The sequence below is a fragment of the Homo sapiens genome, chromosome 5 (assembly GCF_000001405.40).
Source record: "Homo sapiens chromosome 5, GRCh38.p14 Primary Assembly".
Lineage (NCBI taxonomy): Eukaryota > Metazoa > Chordata > Mammalia > Primates > Hominidae > Homo > Homo sapiens.
This window is the reverse complement of record NC_000005.10, coordinates 149,795,399-149,816,931: the sequence shown is the minus strand read 5'-3', so window position 1 is coordinate 149,816,931 and position 21,533 is coordinate 149,795,399. Positions and strand designations below refer to the sequence as shown.

At 48.7% G+C, this 21,533-nt stretch overlaps 1 protein-coding gene across 6 annotated transcripts in view, besides 6 other annotated features; it reads right to left on the bottom strand.

Moving 5' to 3' along the window:
- Positions 1-21,533, bottom strand: part of PPARGC1B (PPARG coactivator 1 beta) — a 127,650-nt gene that overhangs the window by 41,028 nt on the left and 65,089 nt on the right. The gene's annotated exons all lie outside the window — the stretch shown is intronic.
- Positions 1,034-1,178: an enhancer, noted in NCBI's record as "145 bp 5:149195389 sequence used in MPRA reporter constructs". NCBI's record gives its function as "activates a minimal TATA-containing promoter with rs251467 allelic activity by MPRAs in UACC903 melanoma cells {active_cell/tissue: UACC903}" and the evidence as "EXISTENCE:reporter gene assay evidence [ECO:0000049][PMID:36423637]".
- Position 1,106: a transcriptional cis regulatory region, noted in NCBI's record as "rs251467 or 5:149195389 MPRA-significant variant associated with a GWAS melanoma risk locus at 5q32". NCBI's record gives its function as "allelic transcriptional activity by MPRAs in UACC903 melanoma cells {active_cell/tissue: UACC903}" and the evidence as "EXISTENCE:reporter gene assay evidence [ECO:0000049][PMID:36423637]".
- Positions 10,586-11,235: an enhancer, noted in NCBI's record as "active region_23390". NCBI's record gives its function as "activates an Ori minimal core promoter by ATAC-STARR-seq in GM12878 lymphoblastoid cells {active_cell/tissue: GM12878}" and the evidence as "EXISTENCE:reporter gene assay evidence [ECO:0000049][PMID:35858748]".
- Positions 10,852-10,996: an enhancer, noted in NCBI's record as "145 bp enhancer 202 fragment used in the MPRA reporter construct; PK_construct_3486". NCBI's record gives its function as "activates an SV40 promoter by MPRA in HepG2 cells {active_cell/tissue: HepG2}" and the evidence as "EXISTENCE:reporter gene assay evidence [ECO:0000049][PMID:23512712]".
- Positions 10,919-10,929: a transcriptional cis regulatory region, noted in NCBI's record as "NFE2L2 motif; enhancer activity is reduced when this motif is scrambled". NCBI's record gives its function as "necessary for full MPRA enhancer 202 activity {active_cell/tissue: HepG2}" and the evidence as "EXISTENCE:site-directed mutagenesis evidence [ECO:0005528][PMID:23512712]".
- Positions 11,887-12,696: an enhancer, noted in NCBI's record as "H3K27ac-H3K4me1 hESC enhancer chr5:149183799-149184608 (GRCh37/hg19 assembly coordinates)". NCBI's record gives its function as "activates a minimal SCP1, AML or CMV promoter by ChIP-STARR-seq in primed H9 embryonic stem cells {active_cell/tissue: H9 hESC(primed)}" and the evidence as "EXISTENCE:reporter gene assay evidence [ECO:0000049][PMID:30033119]".

Below are 21,533 nucleotides of genomic sequence, written 5' to 3'. Positions count from 1 at the left end.
GTAGGACCAGCATAGAAGCAGGGAGATGGTTTAACAGCTGTTGTAGCCATCCAGGAGGGGACAGGTGGTGGGTTGGGGAGGTACCTCTCAGACACCATCTAGGGACTGTGGGACACAAGGGAGGGCCAAAAGCAGAGACACGGGTTGCTAGGCAGCTGGGGCCTCCGAGGCCAGCAAAGCCCCCAGCAATAAGATCTTGGGTGAGCTCTATGTTCCAGATCTCCCTCTCTCCAGTAACTCAGAGCAGCCACCTTTGTAGGCCTTGCTTCTTAGAAACAGCTTTAGAACCAGAGTCCCAGAATCCCAGACTAGCCAGGAACCCGCAGCTCTGAGAGTTGTCCAGGTAAGTCATGGTGAACAATCTGGGAGGCAGAGGTCCCTTCAAAAACCAGACAAAAGCTATGTACATTTTTCCCCAGAAGATGCAGGTATGTGCACAAAATGTACACTTAACTTTTAGAACTTCATAGAACTAGCTTAAGAACTCCCAACCTAGCTGGTCTATCTCCTTCACTTTGCAAATATGGAAACTGAGACCCAAAGAGGATAATGGATTTGTTCGGGGTCATCCGGTGAGTGTCCTTCCCTCGAAACCATACCGCCTCCTTTACAAAATGTCCATAAAATGGCTGTGATGACTACACTTATTGATTGCCCATAGCAGCTCAACATACTCAAAGTGTACCCAGCACATAAAAACAAAGAAACCTCAGCTTCGCGGCCTTGTCAATTAGGCTAAGACCACTCTCTAGCTAAAAACCATTAAGCGCCACATTAATAGTGATTTCTCTGGCCATCTCCATATTTAGAGAGGCTTTTGAAGGAGTGCTTCAAGTGGCCCAGTTCTTTTTGAAAGGTCTGAATTAAGGCCTTCTTGTCCTGTCCCGGGAGGCTTCCACAGGCCCTGCCAGTGGAGCTGGGAGGTTGAAGCACAAACTAACAGCCGCTGCTATTATGGAGCCCTTACTGGATGCCAAGGCCCATGCTAAGTGCCTTCTATACATGCTCTCATCAGTCTTAAATCAACCCAGCAGGGTGGGTGCTACCGTCCCCATGTCGGCAAGTCATTTAAATTAGGTTGCTAGGAACAGGCGCGGTGGCTCACACCTGTAATCCCAGCACTTTGGGAGGCCGAGGCGGGCAGATCACTTGAAGTCAGGAGTTTGAGACCAGCCTGGCCAACATGGTAAAACTGCATTTCTACTAAAAATACAAAAATGAGCTAGGTATGGCGGCGGGTGCCTGTAATCCCAGCTACTCAGGAGGCTGAGGCATGGATGGCAAAGATTGCAGTGAGCAGAGATCACGCCACTGCACTCCAGCCTGGGCGACAGAGCAAGACTCAGTCTCGAATAAATAAATAAATTGTAAGTAAGTAAATAAATAAATAAATTAGGTTGCTAGGGCTTCCATAACAAAGGACCACAACTGGGTGGTAGCTTAAACAACAGAAGTCTGAGATTAGGGTGTCTGCAGGAATGGTTCCTTCTGAGAGTCTGTTCCAGGCCTTTCTCCTTGGCTTGTACATGACCATTTTCTCCTTGTTTTTTCATGTTTTCTTCCCTCTATGCATATCTGTCTCTGTGCCCCAATTGCCCCTTTTGATAAGGACACTAGCCATACTGGATGAGGGCCCACCCTAATGACCTCATTTTAACTTGATTATCTCTGTGAAGACCCTAGCTCCAAGGAGGTCACATTCTGAGGCACTGGGGGTTTAGGGCTTCAGCACACCTTTTTTGAGAGGATACAATTCAACCCATAACACCCAGGGTCCCAAAAGGGTGAAGCTTGGATTCAAACCCAAGTCTCTTCTCTCCCTGTGAAGCCAGGATCCTCATTCACCATCCTGCTTCCGAAAGTGAGAAGGAACATTCAAGACCATTCATTCCCATCTGCAGGTGGGGAAATGGAGCTTCAGGCAAGGGTTGGGAATGGCCCAAGTCATACAGCAAGTTTGTGGCTGAGCAAGGACAGACCTGGGACCAAACACACTGTTTGTACGGCCCGTGTGTAGGGCCTCTCTGGCCCCTCAACGTGCCTGCTCACCCCCTGCCGTGGGCCCCCCTTCTCCAGCAACACCACATCGCTCATCTGAAAGGACTGTGGCTGCCCCAAGCCAGGGAGATAAATAACCCTGGCCGTGGATTAATGGGGTTTCCTCCAGACTCACATAAGTGGCTTCATTGGAAGCTTGTGATCTTGCTGGAAATTGATTCCCTGCTTAAGAAAGAATGCATCTTCAGGAAAAATTGGTGGCTCTACTTTCCTGGCTATAATCAGCAAATCACCTAGCTTAGTGCCTGGTCCAGAGCAGATTCTCAGAACTACTGAGTGGAAGGAAGCTGGAGGAGGTGGGGCGGAGGGGTGGCTGCAGTGACAGCTTGGGTTCTGGGTCTGTCAGTACTCACTATGCGTCCTTCATTGGGTCACCTCCCCCCTCTGGTCCTCACTGACCCCTCTGGAAAAGAGAACATAAAACCAGACAGGCCCTCTGGAGAACACCCTGCTCAAGCATTTGATACAATTCTGTACTTATCAAATTTCTGAGATCCACATAGGGGGGAAACACGCAGAACTCAGCATTTAATGAACAAATAAAGGAATATACGTGTGAATGACTTTCCAGAGGGGAGAAAAGTGCAGAAAGAAGGACTGTCTTGAGATGGAAGGAAGCCTAGACAAGGGAGGCAAAAGGGCACTGGCTTTGCGGTTAACACTGATCCTTTCAGATCAGGACATTGTTTCTTGCCACCTAGGTTTCTAGTCACAAAATGGGGATAATAAAAACAATCCTGCCTCCTAGGGTTCTTACAAAGATAAAGTACCACAGGTTGGGAACATGGCATGGATCAGACATCCATGAGTGGTGGTCACAGATTACTACGGTCTGAATGTTTGTGATCCCGCAAATTTATGTTGAAATCCTTACCCCCATGGTGAGGCCATGAGGAGGCGAGGCCTCTGGGAGGTGATGAGGTCATGAATGGGATGCGTACCCTTATAAAACAGACCCAAGTAAGCTCGGTTGCCCCTCCCACCCTGTGAGAATACAAGAAGCTGCAATCTACGAACCAGGAAATGCGTCCTCACCAGATACAAAATCTGCCGGTGCCTCGATCTTAGGCTTCCCAGCCTCCAGAACTGTGAGAAATAAAGTTCTGTTGTGTATAAGCCACCCAGTTTATGGTATGTTGTTACAGAAGCAGAAACAGACTGAGACACAGATATAGCACTTTCTAGTTCCCAAGTGACATTCACAGCTGTGCTCTCATCAGTACCTTCCCAAGGTGCAGCGGATGGCCAGTGGTCAGCATTCCCATTTGACTGATGGGAACACTGGGGCTCTAGGAGGGTCAATGCTTCGTGAACTCATCCCCTGACCCATATCCTCAGTTCTAAACCTGCCGGCTCACCCAATTCTTTTCTGTCAACTTTGACCAGCCACCTAATCCCAGTGTCATCATGGCTTGTGGTTTCTGTTGGGGGAATGATCTTGCCCTGCCAGCCAGACCATGCTGGCTCTCTTCAGGTCGGCCTGGGATGGTGGGGAGTCTGGGCTCCACCCGGCTGCACTGACCTCCTGTGACTGCCATCTTGGATATCCTAAGTCCTGCCCGACTGCCAGCTTGGTGCCTCCTTCACTGATAAGAAGTTGTATTTGATGATCTGAGGCAAGTTATTCTTCTTAAACTGCTGTCAGGAATGCAGACCTGCAATGAGATCTGCTAGGGTGACAAGCGCACAGCACTGGGCTCACTGTTCCCTCTTTCCATGGCGATACCACTAACTGATCCCAGCCCGACACCCTGCTAAGCCCCAAACCTTCTCAACACAGAGCCTCAGCAGCTGTTACTAATTGATTAGAAGGGGCCTACTCTACATTATGACCCTGCGCCTCTACTTACCTTCTAGGAAGGAAGTGTGGGAAATACCTATGAAGTCCCACATAGCCATTTCACTTTATAAATGTTTTGTTCCTTCTCTCACCTCTGTTATTTGGCCTGCCTCTTACCCATTCCCCTCCCAGTGGGTGGAAGCCCACCGAGTTTCCTCTGGGAAGCTGACCTTCCCTTACCCCCAGGCAATCCAGGGAAGCACATCCGGGCCAATTAAAGTATCCTATGGCTACAACAACTGGTTGGATTGGGTGGGTCATGGCAAATACCAGGAAACTGCAGGAGCATTTGGACAAGGGGGCTGCGCTGGCTGGATTCTGTTCTGAATAGGCTGGCAGCCCTCTTTGCCACTACCTGCAAAGGGCCTGCCTGAGAAAGAAGCCAGAGCAGGGACGGCAGATCCAAGAAACAGACAGAGATAGATTCCCAATAAAATAACTAAAGCACTTGGATTCAGCTGTGCCTGAAGGCAGGCATTCCCTGTGCTCCAGTTATGGGAGTGAATACGTTCCCTCTCTAGATTACATGCCACTTGGAGTTTCTATCACCCATCAATGAAAAAGTGATAACTTATTCATCTCTCTTACCTTATGAAAAAAACCCAATCTTTCCATGTCTTCCAAATTAATACAAATCACCTAAAGAAGCTTCCAGGAGAAGAGTGGGGAGAGTAGTTTATCTTAGTCCCCACAGAAATACCTACAGCATCATCTGAAATCAGACTCAAAGCCACAAACACAAAGTTAAACTCCAGACAAAATAAGTAGACAGAAGAGAGGGGCTCTGAGCCCAGCCTAGAAGAACAGAACATCTTAAACTCAGAGATAAACCAGACCATTGGAAGGGCCTCCCACCAAAACATTTAAGGCAAAAGATCTCAACCCAGCATCCAAGGCCCTTTCTGTGCGGAAGCATCCGGGTTCAGGCTTGCAGAGCTCAACCTTGGTGATTCTCAGCCCTTCACAGCCGGGCTCCAAGCCTTAGCCAAGTAGGTACCTGGTCAGGGCTTGGAGTAAGGCGACCCCACAGGAGGTCACCAGGTCTGGCGGGAGTGGATCTTCCAGTCCAGAGAAGAAGATGGGGTCCAGTGCTCAGAACTGAGCTCCAAGGCTGGGCCAGACCCAGCCAACCAGTAAGAAGCCCAGTTTCCAGGGACCAAGGCAGCTCTGCCTGGTAGGCAGGGCAACAGGATGGAGAAAGCCAGGATCCCTGACACTGCCCTGGGACACCTATCTCAGGATCTGAGAGAGGACTCAACTCAGAGCTCATCAAACTTCTTATCATTTGGAGGGAGTTTTCTGCTACTTGCAGCCAAAGCTAATCCCATCCAGGCCATCTCAGGCCTTTGGTATAACAGGGGCTTTCCTAACCAGCCTCTACTTGACCAACCAACTTGGTTAACCAACACTCCCCACCCTCTCCTGTAATAACACCCTTTACTAATGCCTAAGGTGCCTGAGAGCCTCAGCTGGTCTGCTCCCACCGACTTAGTTGTTTATTTACTAAGATTCAGCTGTTTCTTCCCAAACCCACTCGATAGTGTAATTACAAAATTTCACTAACTGGTCCGTAAACAGAAAATATGAGTACAAAAGACGAGATTTCAATGAAAACTAAGTTGAAGGCTGTGGAAGGATTCAATAAAGTTGAGCTGCTAAAAAGCAAACAACACTGCCATCAAATTTCATGTGAATGAGTTCATGGTAAAAGATTATGAGAAATTTGCAAGAATCAAGAAAGATTCAGCACTCAGACTGCTTGACAAGAGTCAAAGTTCTTGATCCAGCTGAATGCATCCTGAAACTGGAAACTAGAACCCTGGCACTGTGGGTGTGGACTATGGAGGGAAGATGACTTGCGGTTTCAATGCTGGCACCACAAACAGTCCTATAGCAAAAGACTGGCAAAAATGAATATACATGTCATATGGCTTCGCTAAAAGACAACGTAGGCATGTGTTTCACAATTTTGCGCTTTATCTGACTTTTTCCTAGGAATTCCCCTCTGCAGCCTCCCTGCACCTCCCAGCCGTAGTTTCCACTCTCATTAGATAAGAAGGTGACTACTGCACACAGGCTCTGGCCCCCATGACACAGGAAATAAAGTCTTATGATGGACTACCATAACACAGAACCAAGGTTTTGTGTACCGGAAGGGTCTGGAGTAACACTTTTTGTGAATGAATCTCTCAATTTGCAAATTAAGACATTGAGGCTGAGAAAGCGGGAAGAGGGAGTCACCCGAGATCCACACAGCCAGCTCCTCCCAGGGCCGGAACACAAACCGGGATCTCCCGTGTGACCTGTCCAGACCAGTTTCCAGACAGGCCACTTTCTCAACATCTGTGGCCCATCCACCAAAAGTTCTACATTAGATCCATCTCTCTTTAAATGATAAGGGAAAGAGAGAACAGGCAGTCTCCTGGGTAGGTGTTATCTTACAGTCATCTCCTTACCCACTCCTATTGCCTGCAAGCAGCCCCTTATCCACTGAAGATCTGCAAAGTCTCTCGTTGCTGTGTCGGGGTGAGATGACCTGGGGTGAGGCAGCTCCTGGATGGCCTGGCAGGTGGCTGTGCAGAGCCCAGACTCCCCTCCTTCAGCACCGAGGTCAGCTAGGCCCCCCACCCCACCTTCGGCAGCATGGATCCTGGCACCTGTCAGGAGGGTGGCCTATCAGCAGGTACAAGCCTGCCCCAGGCCCAGGAAGGCAGTGTTTCATTTTGTTTGTAAACAATAAGGTTGAAGTATATTCTGCGCAAGGTGTTTTAAGGCAGGGTAATATACACATTGTGTCTGCCTGCACTCACAGTCAATTTTATGCACTTGAACTCAAGGGCCTCTTGAATTCAAAGGAGAGTGGCAGGAAAGCACTTGCTAAACTGTAAAATGATGTACAGGTACATGTTGTTAGGCTTTGTTGAGGCAGGGCTGGCCCTGGCTCATAACTTGCTAGTTACAGGGAGTTGCTTGCCCTCTCCGCATCTCTCAAGACCAGCCTCCCTCCTGGAACAGTTGTGTGGCTTGAGTGTCCACCCCGGGGCCTCTGTGCTGGAGCCTTCCTCAGCCTGGAACGCCTTCTCTCTCCTTCATCTCCCATAGCGGCTCCCTTCTTTCTATCCTCATCCCAGGTTGAACGTCCCTCCCCAGATGGGCCTCCCTGACCACTGCACCCCAAATGGCCATCCCGTCTCTGGCCTACCTAGCACCCTGCTGGAATTCCCTCGATTAGCACTTATCATTCTCTGCTATCCCCTGCCTCCTTTTATCAGTATGTTTTTAAATTGTGGTAAAATATAAATAACATGAAATTGATTAATTTTTTTTTTTTTTTTTTTTTTTTTTTAAGAAAGGATCTCACTCTGTCGCCCGAGCTGGAGTGCAGTAACATGATCATGGCTGATTGCAGCCTTGAATTCCCGGGCTCAAGCAATCCTCCCGCCTCAGCCTCCTTAGTAGCTAGGACTACAGGTGCACACCACCACTCCCAGCTTGCTTGCTTGCTTATCTATCTATCTATCTATCTATCTATCTATCTATCTATCTATCTATCTATGGTAGAGATGGATCTATCTATCTATCTATCTATCTATGGTAGAGATGGATCTATCTATCTATCTATCTATCTATGGTAGAGATGGATCTATCTATCTATCTATCTATCTATCTATCTATCTATCTATGGTAGAGATGGATCTATCTATCTATCTATCTATCTATCTATCTATCTATCTATCTATCTATGGTAGAGATGGATCTATCTATCTATCTATCTATCTATCTATCTATCTATCTATCTATGGTAGAGATGGATCTATCTATCTATCTATCTATCTATCTATCTATCTATCTATCTATGGTAGAGATGGATCTATCTATCTATCTATCTATCTATCTATCTATCTATCTATCTATCTAAGGTGGAGATAGGGGTCTTTCTGTGTTGTCCAGGCCGGTCTCAAACTCCTGGGCTCAAGCAGTCCTCCTGCCTTGGTCTCCCAAAGTGCTAGGATTATAGGCATGAGCCACCATGCCTGGCCCATTTTAAACATTTTTAAGTGTGCAGTTCAGTGGCATTAAGTACACCCACATTGCTATGCAGCCATCACCACCATCCATCTCCAGAACTACCCCCATTACTAATTTATCTACTTGTTTACTGCTGCCTCCCACAACTGGCAGCTCCATGTGAGCAGGGGCTGTGTCTGGGTTTGCCTTGTTGCCCACTGTATCCCAAATGCCCAGCATAATGCCTGGCACATAGTAGGTGCTCAATAAACATGCGTTCAAGAAACAAAATGAGTGTCTTGTAAAGGGTATAGGACCGTGTACAAAAACAAGAGAGCGCAACATGTGCATTTTTTCCACACAGCCCCAAGACAAGACCAAGCTTCCTGGCAGCCTCAGTCACCAGATAACAATTTCAGGTTTTGTCAAAGTCTGTGGGGGGCAAAAACGCTGAGAGTTCAGTTTCTTTCCTGGTTCCAGGCCCCTCTACAAGGTCAAGAATGAAGATACATGATCACACAAACCACCTGACATCAACACTCACCATTTCAACACATCAGCTCTACCGAGAGCAACATTTTATCAGTTGCTGAAGGGCAGGCACAAAAATAGACTGCAGGGATCAAATGCCATCCTCAGCTGCTCTCTTGACTCTCAGGAGTGAAAGGCCCTGGCATCCAAGGACCCCAGGGCCTGGGGACCTGAAGGCAGGGGTCAGCTGTTCCAGTAGTTCACAGAAATTGGGAGGTGGAGCTGGGGCTGGAATTAGGGTGCCTTACACATCAAAATACTCAGTCATCAAGGTAGATCATATTTTAATGCAATTTTAAAATTAATGCAAAATATCCACCCAAGATTAACAAAATACCAAAATTCTAAGTAAAGGTGAGGTCAGTGGTGCCAATTTTTTCCCTCTTGCCTCGGTTCCTGTAGGGCTACGCATGGCCCCGTTGCTGTTTCTGCCTTTGTTTTAAAATTGGATATTTTGTTCAGCATGGATATTTATATCAATTATTTTTTAAACACTGATATAAATAGGATTGATCTTGACGACTGAGTTTTTTAGCATCTCCTTAAATTTTGTGCCAGAGCCAAGTGCCTCCTTTGCCTTACCTTAGCCCTCACCTGGGCGGGATTAGATGGAGAAAGTTACTGTTCATGCAGGTGACTAAAATGGGACCATGTCTCGGGTCACGCCATTTAGTGGGGCCTCAGTTTCAACATCTCTGCAATGGGGCCCATAACCTCCTAGTTGCTGTGGAATTGCTCCAGCCCTCATGAGGTATTTAGGAAAACTGTAAAATGCTTATAAGAAACTCTCCAGGAACTGTTATTAAATTCTTCTCAAAGATGGTGAATGGCCTGCCAGGATGGGGGGTGGCATTCAGCTTTGAGGTGAGTTACAAAACACGTGCCCTATTTCTAATGAAAGGAGTGAAGTTAGTGAAATGCATCGATTTTGCTTAAGAAAAGAAAGAGACTGGAGCAGATTCCTGGTTCTTCCTGCAATCAGGATGTCCTCTGGCAGTCTACTCGCTGGAATTCTGACCTTGGTCCTGAGTCGGAAGGAAAGCAAAGGGTGACTGTTGCTCATGTCACACGGCTGAAGGGGCGACCACTGACACCCTGCTCATGAGCTGGCAGGTGCTTCCTTTCCTTGCCATGTTGTGTGGGATTTCCTCAAAATTCAGATGTGCCTAGGGACATGCCAGCCATCCTCCTGTGTCAGGAGGATGACAAAGTACCTGACTTTGGGAGGACAGAAAAGTGCTGGACTGCTGATAGTTTTATGACATGGTGAATGGACTTAATGCCACTGTTTTGTACTTTATAAATGGTAAATTTTAGTCTGAGCAACGTGGCAAAACCCTGTCTCTAAAAAAAAAAAAAATACAAAAATTGGCCAGGCACAGTAGCGTATGCCTATTGTCCCAACTACTCTGGAGTCTGAGGTGGAAGGATCACCTGATCCCAGGAAGTTGAGGCTGCAGTGAGCTGTGATGGTACCACTGCACTACTCTAGCCTAGATGACAGAGCAAGACCCTGTCTCAAAAAGGAAAAAAAAAAAGGGTAAATTTTATGTTAGGTACATTTTACCACAATTTTTTTTAAAAAGTTGGCCAGGCACAGTGGCTCAAGCCTATAATTCCAGCACTTTACGAGGCCAGGGTGGGTGGACGGCCTGAGGACAGGAGTTCGAGAGCAGCTGACCAATATGGTGAAACCCCGTCTCTACTAAAAATACAAAAATTAGCTGGGCATGGTGGTGGGTGCCTATAATCCCAGCTACTCGAGAGGCTGAGGCGGGAGAATCGCTGGAACCCAGGAGGCGGAGGTTGCAGTGAGCCGAGATCACACCATTGCACTCCAGCCTGGGCGACAACAGCGAAACTGTCTCAAAAAAAAAAAAAAAAAAGTCCCAGAGACCTAAAAAAACAAAGTGTCCCACACACTCCATCTGGAGGTGTTTTCTGGGGTCCTATAGTGTCCACGTTCTCTGGTTCTATTTCCGCATCTCCTGCCCTGGCTGGCAGGAGAGACCGAGGGAGCAGGGCCAGGGCTCAGCTGAGAAGCCCTTTTTCTTGTAAACACTGTTATAAATAACCCAGAAAGAGGTAGAAAGGGGGTCCTGGCAAGAGAGTGAAGGTCAGGCAGCCCCTTCATGGCATTTAAGGAAATGTCATGCTCAACAGGGCAGCAAGATGCCAGTGCACACCTTCAGCCCAGTGCTGCCTGGAGCTGACTGCCGCCTTGCTGTCATGCCAGAGCCCCCAGGCAGCACTCACACACCCAGGATATGCAGCCCTCTCAGGTGGCCGGCTCCTGGGGTTTATGAACAGACAGGGGACCCTCAGGTGGGTGGACAGGCAGTAGGTAGCTGGCGATTCCCCCTTCCCAGTAGGCTGGGGGCCTCGGCAGGCCAGAGCTGAAGTCAGTTCCCCAATAACCCAGGCCAGGACTCCACACCAGCCTGGGCTTGTCAGCCAACACATGACCAGGCCGAGGGAGAGATGACTCAGCAGTGCTCGGCCCACAGCTGCCCCTGCTGCTGCACAGCGTGGGAGCTGGAGGGGCCTCACAGCCCATCTGGTCCTGTGGTTCCCACACTGGGCTCCCTGGGGAACCCCCACAGCTCCACCATGGCCCTGGGCTTTGAAATGGGAGGAATTATGAAAGAGTTAATTAGGTTTCCCATGTTTATTAACCAAAAGTCATATAGTGGCAACCCATCATATTCCTATTTAACCAGAGTGAATTTAACATTATGTGATTGGCAAAAAAGATAAATAGGCCAGGCGCAGTGGCTTACACCTGTAATCCCAGCACCAAGGTGGGTGGGTCAGATCACCTGAGGTCAGGAGTTCGAGACCAGCCTGGCCAACATGGCAAAACCCCATCTCTACTAAAAATACAAAAATTAGCCAGGCGTGGTGGTGCACGCCTGTAATCCCAGCTATTCGGGAGGCAGAGGCAGGTGAATCGCTTGAACCCGGGAGGCAGAGGTTGCAGTGAGCCGAGATCATGCCACTGCACTCCAGCCTGGGGGACACAGTGAGACTCCGTCTCAAAAAAACAAATAAATAAATAAATAGCCATATTTCTATTTCTTTCTTACACATTAGAAGTAGGGTGATGTATCTTGCATGTGAATTCTCTATTTGCATAAACTCATATACACGTACCTATTTTCCATATACACTACTTTGTAGGCTATTTAAGGACCCTATGATAGTTAATTTGACCCAAACCCCAGACTAAGAAACCACTCCCCAAGTCCATGGTATTTACCACTCAGGGTGTCTGAGCAGCCTGTGAGAATCCAGCAAAGTGGGCATTCCCCATGTTATCTATGTGACTTTGAAAGAATGGGGAGGGGAAAGTTCTCCACACCTGTTAGTACCTTTGAGAGTCTTCCTGGGTTCCAGAAGCCCAGGCAACATCACGAAGGAGGAAGCTCCCATCAAGAGGGGCAGGGCTTGCCCACCATGCCCAGCGAGCTGGAGGCAGAGCGGATACCAGGGCTCATCGCTCACTCTCCTGCTGAAAACCCTCCCCTGACTTCTCATTGCCCTTGACTAAAACCCGGAGTCCTCAGGGGCCGAGTGCAGCTGGAGCCTGCCTGCTTTCTCACCACCTCCTGGACTCTCCCACCCTCCCTATACAGTAGGCATGGTGGCCTTCTTCCTTCCCATGGAACACAACCCTCTGTCTGGGGCTGTCCACCTGGGACACCTCCCCCAGGTCCTGGGGCCACCTTCCCACTGTTCAGTCGCAGTGAGAGAGGCCTTCCCCAACACTCCAATCCTTCCACTCACGGGGATTACATCACTGTGGGTTTTTGTTTTTGTTTTTTTGAGACAGCGTCTCACTCTGTCGCCCCAGCTGGAGTGCAGCGGTGTGAGCTCACCTCACTGCAATCTGTCTCCTGGGTTCAAGCGATTCTCCTGCTTCAGCGTCCCGAGTAGCTGGGACTACAGGCATGCTCCACCACCTGGCTAATTTTTGTATTTTTGGTAGAGATGGGGTTTCGCCATGTTGGCCAGGCTGGTTTCAAGCTCCTGACCTCAAGTGATCTACCCACCTCAGCCTCGCAAAGTGCTGGGATTATAGGTGTGAGCCACCGCACCCGGCCGCATCACTGTGTTTTAAGCATAGCATGGAACCAGGGACCATCCGTCTCCTCTCCAGAATATAAACTGTCCAAGCACCTGGCCTTGTCCTTTGCTGAGTCCCAGCACCTGGAAAGGTGCCAAGCACTGAGTAGGTGCTTACTAAACCTTTGCAGGACGGGAGGGTGTGGGGTGGAGGCGCAGAGGCACTATTTCCCAGGACAGTTTTGGCATCTCTGCCTCACACTATCGTGAAGGCTGCAGTCTCTCTCACACTAACCCCCCTTTACCGGGGGTTGAGGGGTGGTTTCCTTCCGCATCCATTTATTCCCTTATGGAAACTCCTGCCTTTCCTTTTCCAGTGGGTCAGATGATGAGAAACGCAGACCCACAGGCTCCCAGATAAAGCTGGTGGGAAAGAGGTTCTCTTTGGCCCCAGCAGGCTCTCCTTGGTCATGTGGTCAGTGAGGGCCAGAGGCCAAGGGAAGCCAAGGAGGCCTGCTGAGCAGACCACCACTCGCTCAGGTCCTGCAGACTCGAGGCTCTGGCTGGCCTCCTAAGCCACAGCTGAGCCTGCCTTATGTAGAAGTGCGTTCCAGAGCGAAGAACTGGGCGAGTACAATGAATCTGTGTCAACTGAATCACACGTTTCCACACTCCCTTCTTCTCAAGTAATAGGGATGTGTCCTGGGGTGGGGGTGGCACTGCAGCAGGCTCCCCACCCCTGGGCCTCCTTACTGTGTGCTAATGACAGAATAACAGGCACCTGAACTAGGAAAGGGGGAAAATCAGATGCTTGATTGCCACCCAGGACTAAGAGAAACAGGCAGGAGGCGAGGAACTCTCTCAATGACAGAACAAGGAGGTGTTTTGTCAAATGAAGCCCCTGCCATACGCACATGTAAGTACCACGAGAACCCACTTTCCTGCCCTACTAGGTTTCTCCCACTCTACTAGGACTGGTGGGTCTCAGGGCTCATAAAAATCCTTTATGCTGTAAATTAGATATTCTCCCATTTGACACTCACAACAGGGCAGAGGTTAAGCCATTTTTCAAACAGGAAAGCTGAGGTTCAGAGAGGGAAAGTGAGCTGCCTAAAGTCACAGAGCAAGTCAAAGACAGGACCAGGACTAGAATCTCAAGACCTCTGAGTCCTAGTGGAAGCAATAGTAGAGAACACTGGATGGGGAGTCACAACCTGAATCCTCTGTGCTAATAGTATGAGATTTGGGACAAGTCCCTCTACTTCTCTGAGCCTCAGTCCCCCATATTCCAGCACTGGTCAACCTCAGAGAGCAGACAACCAGGGCCCTGAGACATGCAGGGTCAGCACGTGGGCAGGGTGGAAAAGTGTCAGGTGCCCCATCAGCAATTCCTAAAAAGGAGGAAAGACAGTGGAGGGGGTGGAGGTGGTGTGGATTGAGGGCTGGTGAACCCTCAAGTGGGAGAATCCCTTAAGTGGCAAGTGGGAGCTCTGCTGGCTCCTCCCTATGCTACTCATGTTGTGGTCCATGAACTAGCAGCATCAGCCTCTCCTGGAGCTTATTAAATACCGCAGCCCTTCACACTCATCCCAGACCTCCTGAATCAGAATCTGCATTTTAACAAAATACTCAGGTGATTCATAGGCACATTTAAGTTTGGGAAGCCAAAAATTTTAAATCGAGTCAGATCCTTATCATGTGACCATGGATGCAACACCTGAGTCCTCCCAGCCCCAGCTGCCCCATCTGTAGAGATAAAGCTGTGTATGCCTCACAGAAGTGTCATGAGGGCTCTGTGTGATCACGTATGCCAAAAGCCTAGCCCAGAGCCCGGCAGGTAACAGCTGTCCAAACTGTTAGCTTCCTTCCTTCTCGAGAAGCCAGAAGGAAGGAGGCTTCTGCCTCCATCCCAAATCCTGCCTGCACATCTGGGAGGGGAGGAAAAGACCCCCATGGGGCCACAACAGATGGGGACAGGGTGGGAGCAGAGGGAAAGGAGGAGAGGAGAGGAAGTCAAGAAGAAAAATAAAAACAAGCAGCAGAGACCATCTGAATCCCGGGAGGCAGGCAACATGCAAAGCCCAGAGACACAACCGGTTCAGCTCACGTCGCAAATTGAGTGCTGCCAGAAGCCAGCAAGCCAGGAGGGACGGAGGAGCGAGGGCCACATGGCTGTGTCCTTTCAGACCGTGTAGGACAATGCTCTTCCAGACCAGCTCTGAACTGGTTCCTGAGGTCAGGGCAGACACTACACTGAGGGTCACTGGAGCAACCAGACAGAAGCTGGGGCCTTGGGCCAAGTCCTGAGAAGGGTCAAAGTGAACTGGAGAACACTTATCCAGAGGACCGTCAACCAGAGGAGCTCGGGGGTCAGGGACGGGGCGGTGCTGAGCTGTGTAATCTTGGCCAAATGATTTAACTTCTCCGGGTCTCAGTAAAATAGGGTACACCCACCTGCTTAGGGTTCTTATGAGGATTAACGAGAAGGGCTTCACATAGTGTCTAGTGCAAAGTAGATACTCAAAAGACAATGGCCATCAGTGAGATTACTACACAAGAGTCCTTAAGCAACTACAGCTGCAGCCTCTCTGGGTTGCTGGGCCTTCCTGTAGCTTCCTCACACCCAGTCACTGAGTTAACCCTTCATGCTCTGAGACAGACCCAGTTCACACCACCAACTCACACGTCAATGGCAGCCATAGCCTCCTGCCTCTACTCCAGCCCCCACCAGGCGGCTAGACACAGAGCAGCCACAGCTATCTTCTCAAGACACAGACCTGACCCCACTGGCTCCCTCTGATTCCTCCCAGGTAAAGACTGAAACTCTTTCTGTGGCCTGTAAGGTCCTGCACGGTGTGTCTCCTGCCTCCCTGTCCCACATCATTTCACACCAGCACCCACTCCCTACTGCCACTCTGAGTCCTGCTGGCTTCTTTCCACCCCTGGCACTTGACAGGATCTGTCCCCTGACATAGCCTCTGCGCATGCTGTTCCCTCTCCCGGAACACGCTTCCCACACATAAAGGCTTTGCCTACTTATCTCCTATTCATCCTTCACTCTACTTCCTGGAGGAAACTTTTTTTTGAGCTTGCAGATCATATAAGGAGCCTTTCTGCACGCTCTCATGGCCTTCTGAAGGTACAGAGGCTTCTGGAGCTGAGCACACTGGGAAATTAAGCATTTATTATTAAACATTTATATGCATGAGTATTTTATTAATGCTCACTACTGTATCCCTGGCACCTGGCACATAGTAAGTGCTCAATAAACACTTGGAGAGGGGATTAGGAGCCTGGCCATTCCCTTGTGCCCATATCACCCACTCGTCCTACAAGGTCCTGCTCTCTCTCTCCTCATCCCCTAGGTCTTCATTCCCCATACACATGGGACAAACCCTGACACTACCTGATCCACGCCATATGTCCATGACCCATAGGCCTGGCACCAGAGATCCAAACGTTTCTAGATCTGATTTTCTTGAAAGCAGCTTTGGGTCATGGCCAAGGGAGGCGTGTGCCGCCGCCTCAGCAGTAAATGCTGATGAAGCTGTCTGGACCAGCTGAGCTGAGATCAGGAAATGCCAAGATTTAAAAGCATCCAGAACCCATTTATTTATTGTTGTTCTTGCACTTCCAGGCTATTTTGAGCTTCAGATCAATCGGTTGGCCCTCTTCTCTCCAAATGTCACTCCTGAAACACCCAACATGCACCTGGCCCCACCTGTTGGGACTCAGCTCCCCCTGCCCCATCTGTCACATGACAACAGCAGCAAAAACAGCGGAGGCTGTTTACCAGGTGCCTCTGTGAGTTGTAAGTGCTCTCACCAAAAGTGCCTAACAGTCCCAAAGGGAGGTATTGTTAGCCATTTAAGACATGGGGAAATTGAAGTGAAGAAATTTGCCCAGGGTCACACAGCTAGAGAGTGCTGAAACTGGGATTCAACCCCAGATCTTCCAAATCCAAAGACCAGGCTCGTAATTGCTTGGCAATACTGCCTGCCTCACTCCTATCAAAGCTCCCCATACGCACTGTAGTTTTTCTCATCTCTGAGTTCTTGGTGATATCTTTCTAGCGACCTGCAATGACCACCAATGTTTTCGCACCACTGGTCAAAAGCCATCCCTCCCCTCGTGCACTGCTATGGGAAGACTGCCAAGATGGGCTGTTAGGTGGAAGGGGATGTTAACGTTACATGATCCTGTTTACACTTTTTTTATGATGCATAGATAGGTACACTTCATATATCCATAGATTATTGCAAGAAGGACACACAAGAATAGTAGGAGTTGGAGGAAATAGGAATAAGGAGTTGGTTAGGCATGGGAGAGGTCAGAGAATATTTACTTTCTATTTTATGTCCTTCTTTACTCTTTGAAGGTTTTTATTTTTATCATATACATGCTGCAACTCATTCCTCAAAACCCAATTCCAGCCAAGCGCAATGGCTCACACCTGTAATCCCAGCACTTTGGGAGGCCGAGATGGGTGAATTACCTGAGGTCAGGAGTTCGAGACCAACCTGGCCAACATGGCAAAACCATCTCTATTTTAAAAAATGCAAAAATTAGCCAGGTGTGGTGGCGTACACCTGTAGTCCCAGCTATTCAGGAGGCTGAGGCAGGATAATCACTTGAACCCGGGAGGCGGAGGTTGCAGTGAGCTGAGATTGTGCCACTGCACTCCAGCCTGGGTGACAAGAGCAAGACTTCGTCTCAAAAAAAAAAAAAAAAAAAAACAACAACAAGCAAACAAACAAACAAAAAAGCCCATTCATATGCCACCTCCCTGATGGAGCCTGCCCTGAATGCCCCAGCTTCTCCTTCCTCCAGTCTCTCTCTGGGCATTTAGGTCACTGAGCCTGTGTCCCCAGTGCACATACATATCAGCAGGAGCCTCAGGGCCTGGTTCAGTGTCTCGGGCTTCCAGGGTCTCCCTTCAATCGAGCCTAAGCCTTTGCTCAGGGAAGGGCATGAGAGCCCTGGTGAATGAATAACTATTTTACTTTCTATCTTGGTCCATGCCTCCTGAAGCCAAAGAAGCTGGAAACTCTAAAATGGAGCTTAGGGGTGGGGAGGAGAAGAGGAGAGCAGAGAATCAGAGGGTAAATTCAGCTCCTGGAAGCCTGCCCAGTGCTCATCCCTGGGAAATGACTCAAGCACCACTTATGCCAGCAGACAGTCCATTTGGGCCCTGAGGTCACCAAACCTCGTCATGGTCCTGCTTATTAAATATAGAGGTGTGTGAAATAAAGCCACCACTTCTTGTTCTGGGATTCTGAGGAAGGGACAGACAGACAGGGATGAGAGGTGAGGAATCTGTCCCCCATTCTCCACCCTTCACAGTCCATCTAGTGAGGTCTCCACTGTGGCTGAGTTTGGACCACCAGGTCACACTTGGCTCTTGGTGGGAGCTTAGCAAATGTCCTATCTCACCTCTCAGGCAGCAAGGAGGTCTCTGCCTTCCTCAGCACCCAGCCCCTGCTTGGGGGCTAGGGACCTCTGAGAGCTTGGTAATATTTGGCCCATAAGAATCACTGCCCTTTGCTGAGCCTCTCTTTTGTGCCAAGCACATTATGGACATCTTGTTTATACTGTCCAACAACCACATAAAGGCAGGTAGACAGACTGTCCAGTCCACTCTACAGATGAGGAAACTGAGTCCCAGGGATGGTAAGCAATGTGCTCAAAATCACTCAGCTAAGTTAGGGGTAGTCGGAATTGGACCAAAGTCTGCTGGTCATCTGAGCCATACCAAGGTTGCAACAGGGGAAGAACGTGAACTAGAACTCCATTGGCTGGAGCTATGTGATTATAATCAGGCCACCCCATGGCCCTAGGCCTCAGCCTTCTCGTTTGCTCAGTGGACTGGCTGCTCACAGGCAGCACGGGAATCAACTAAGCTGAGGCCATGCTTCTCTATCTCTGATCACATACCTGGAGTGGCAAGACATACTCAGAGGCATACACAGGAGGCATGGTGCCTCTTTTCAGAACTCCATTTTACCCCCAAGATTTGCCATAATAAAGTCAAGTCATTTAACTGGAAAGGGGAACATTCTTGTATTATAAAAACAGAACTAAACAAAACAAAAAAACAAGGGCGTGTTAGAGACTAGAAATGCAAATGCTGGATTAATTTTTTCAGACAAAATATGATTTTTTTGTGGTGCGGACTCTATTCAAATCAGTTGTAGGTTTAGCTGATGGGGCTACTTTGGAGGCAATGGTGGACTGTTCTGAACGCTGACTTTGGAATGAGAAAGATGTGCATTAATTTGGGCTTGGTCCCTTAACCAGCTGTGTGGCCCTGGCCAAGACACTCAACCTCTCTGGGCCTTAGCTCTTTTATCTGTAAAATGGGAATGATAAGATCATACTTGTAAAGTAAGGGTCCTTAACCTTTTTTGAGCCATGGGTCCCTCTGAGATCTGATGAAGCCTATAAACTTCTCACAACATTTATGAATGCATAAAATAAAAAAATAAATGAATTGTTTTTTGGCGGGGGGTGGGGATGGAGTTTTGCTCTGTCGCCCAGGCTGGGTGCAATGGTGCAATCTCGGCTCACTGCAACCTCTGCCTCCCAGATTCAAGCAATTCTCCTGCCTCAGCCTCCCTAATAGCTGGGATTACAGGCACACGCCACCACACCCAGCTAATTTTTATATTTTTAGTAGAGACAAGGTTTCACCATGTTGGCCAGGCTGGTCTCGAACTCCTCACCTCAAGTGATTCACCCGCCTCGGCCTCCCAAGGTGTTGGGATTACAGGTGTGAGCCACCGCGCCCAGCCGAAACATTTTTAAATGCACCAAATGAAATGTAGAATTATAAAGAAAACCAATACTATCAAAATATATTTACAAAATAATAAAAAAAGAATCTGTTATGGTAGTGTTTCCTTATTAACAAATAACAAGAGCTAGTGGCATGCCTAATAATTACTTATAATTTGGAAATAGCAATGAGCCTAAATATTTGTAGATATCTTGAACAACTGTGATATACAAATATCTGTGATTTCCATTGACAACAAAGTCACCGTTACCACTAATACTTTTTTTTGTCCCCTACATTCATAAAGGAAATGCTAAATTTCAGCTAGAGATTCATGAAAACAAAGATGTAATTTTTTTCCATCCAAGTTCACAGACCCCTTAAACGTGAGGTTTAAAGCATTGTAACACAGTGCCTGGCACACTGTCAATGTTCTTTAAGGCTGGCTGGTCTAGGTTATCCCAGGCTCTGATCCCAGACACACCAGGGCTGGAAGCTCCACCTATGCGCCAATAGGAGTCCTGCAGAGGAGCATTTTGGGCAGCCTTGAGCCCGTCCAGGGTTCAAGGAGGGATGTGGGTCACTCCAAGCTGTTGGGCGAGGGAGGGAGGCCCTTCAAGCTAATCCAGAAGCTTAGGGCTGGAAGAGGGATAAGCTGCAGTTAGAAATGCACACAGGCTGTCTCGGAGCAAAACAAACCGTGTCCTTCCATGCATTAACTCTGTCCTCGGCTATGCCTGCAAAGGAGCCCTTTCAAATCCTTCCTCCTTGATATCTCCACCTGAGTGGTTTATCAGCATCTCCTCCTTAGATCCAAATGGAATTCTATTTCCACCCAAACCAGTTTCTCCTTCAGTCTCTCCTAGGTCAGTAAATGGCAAACCCTTCACCCAGCTGCTGAGGAGCAAAATTTAAGTATTCCTCTCTTCCCTCGCCCTCACATGCCATCCATCAGCCAGTCTTGTCTGCACTCTCTCCAAAATACCATTCTCATCTCTCTCTCTCTGCTGCCACCATACTGGTGCATACAATCATCTCTTACTAGACTTCCAGCAGATGCCCAGCTGGCCTCCCACTCCCACACTTGCTCACCCCACCCCAAGTTGGTCTCTCCCACAGTAGCCAAAATTATCTTTAAAAGATGTAAATCAGGACTATGTTACCCACCCACTGCTCAAAATTCTCCAAAGACGCTCCTATTGCACTCAGAATGAAATCCAAACACCTGTGGCTTATAAGGCCCTTGCCTACCCTGCCAGCATCCTCTTCTGCCACTTTCTGCCTCACTGACCATGCCACAGCCATCCTGACATCCTTTACATTGGAGCTCAATAGCTGGTCACTGCCCCAGTGTCTATCCACAAGCCATTTTTGCATGGCTGGTTACTTTCTGATGTTTAGATCAAATGTCACCTCCTCCAACAGGCCCCCCCTACTCCACCGACTGCTCACTCTGAAGTGGCCACCACCCTCCCTACTCCGTCACACTCTCCATCGCATGGCTGTGTCTTATTTTCTTCATGATCTACATCACTGTCTGAAATGGCCTTGTTAGTTCTGTCCAGATGTGTGTTACTGGTCGACCCCCACCAGAACGGAAGCCTCTCCATGCTTCCTGCTGCACCTCGGCACACAGTAGGCACTCTTCAGATTTTAGTGAGCCTTCTCTTATGTGGGAAAATGGGCTGAGCTCTTGACATGCATCATGTCACTCAATCCTCATGACTGGTATTATTCCCAATTTACAGAGGAGGAAACTGAGGAGGCCTAATGAGGTTCCCCAGCTGGGTTAAGGGAAGTCTGACTCCAAAACAGGGTACTTAATCACTGTTATACTGTGAAAAAAAAAGATAATCATCCCCCCCTGCCCCCACCATCATCCCCAAACAGCAGACATGGGAAGGATGGTTCTGCAAAAAACTGCAGATGAATGGGGCTGAGGTGACAGTATCCCAGGCCTCAAGATGCTGTGACCTCATCCCGCTCAGAAGCTGCCGCCCTCCTGCGTCCTCTGCCCTGAGGAGCTGGCTGGCAGAGACATGGCATCCACACCTGTACTCAGATTTGCATTTGGTGCCCTGGAAACTCCCCACTGCTCCTTTCTCCTCAGTTGCCTTTTCCAGGCCTCTAATCTCCAGATCAGGTTTCCAGAGCTGTGAAATGTCCTCTCTTAGGTAATTCTCCAGCTTGAGACTAGACGTCTGGGATTTAGAACAACAGAGCCCCAGGTGGAAAAAGACCTTGACAGCCACTTAG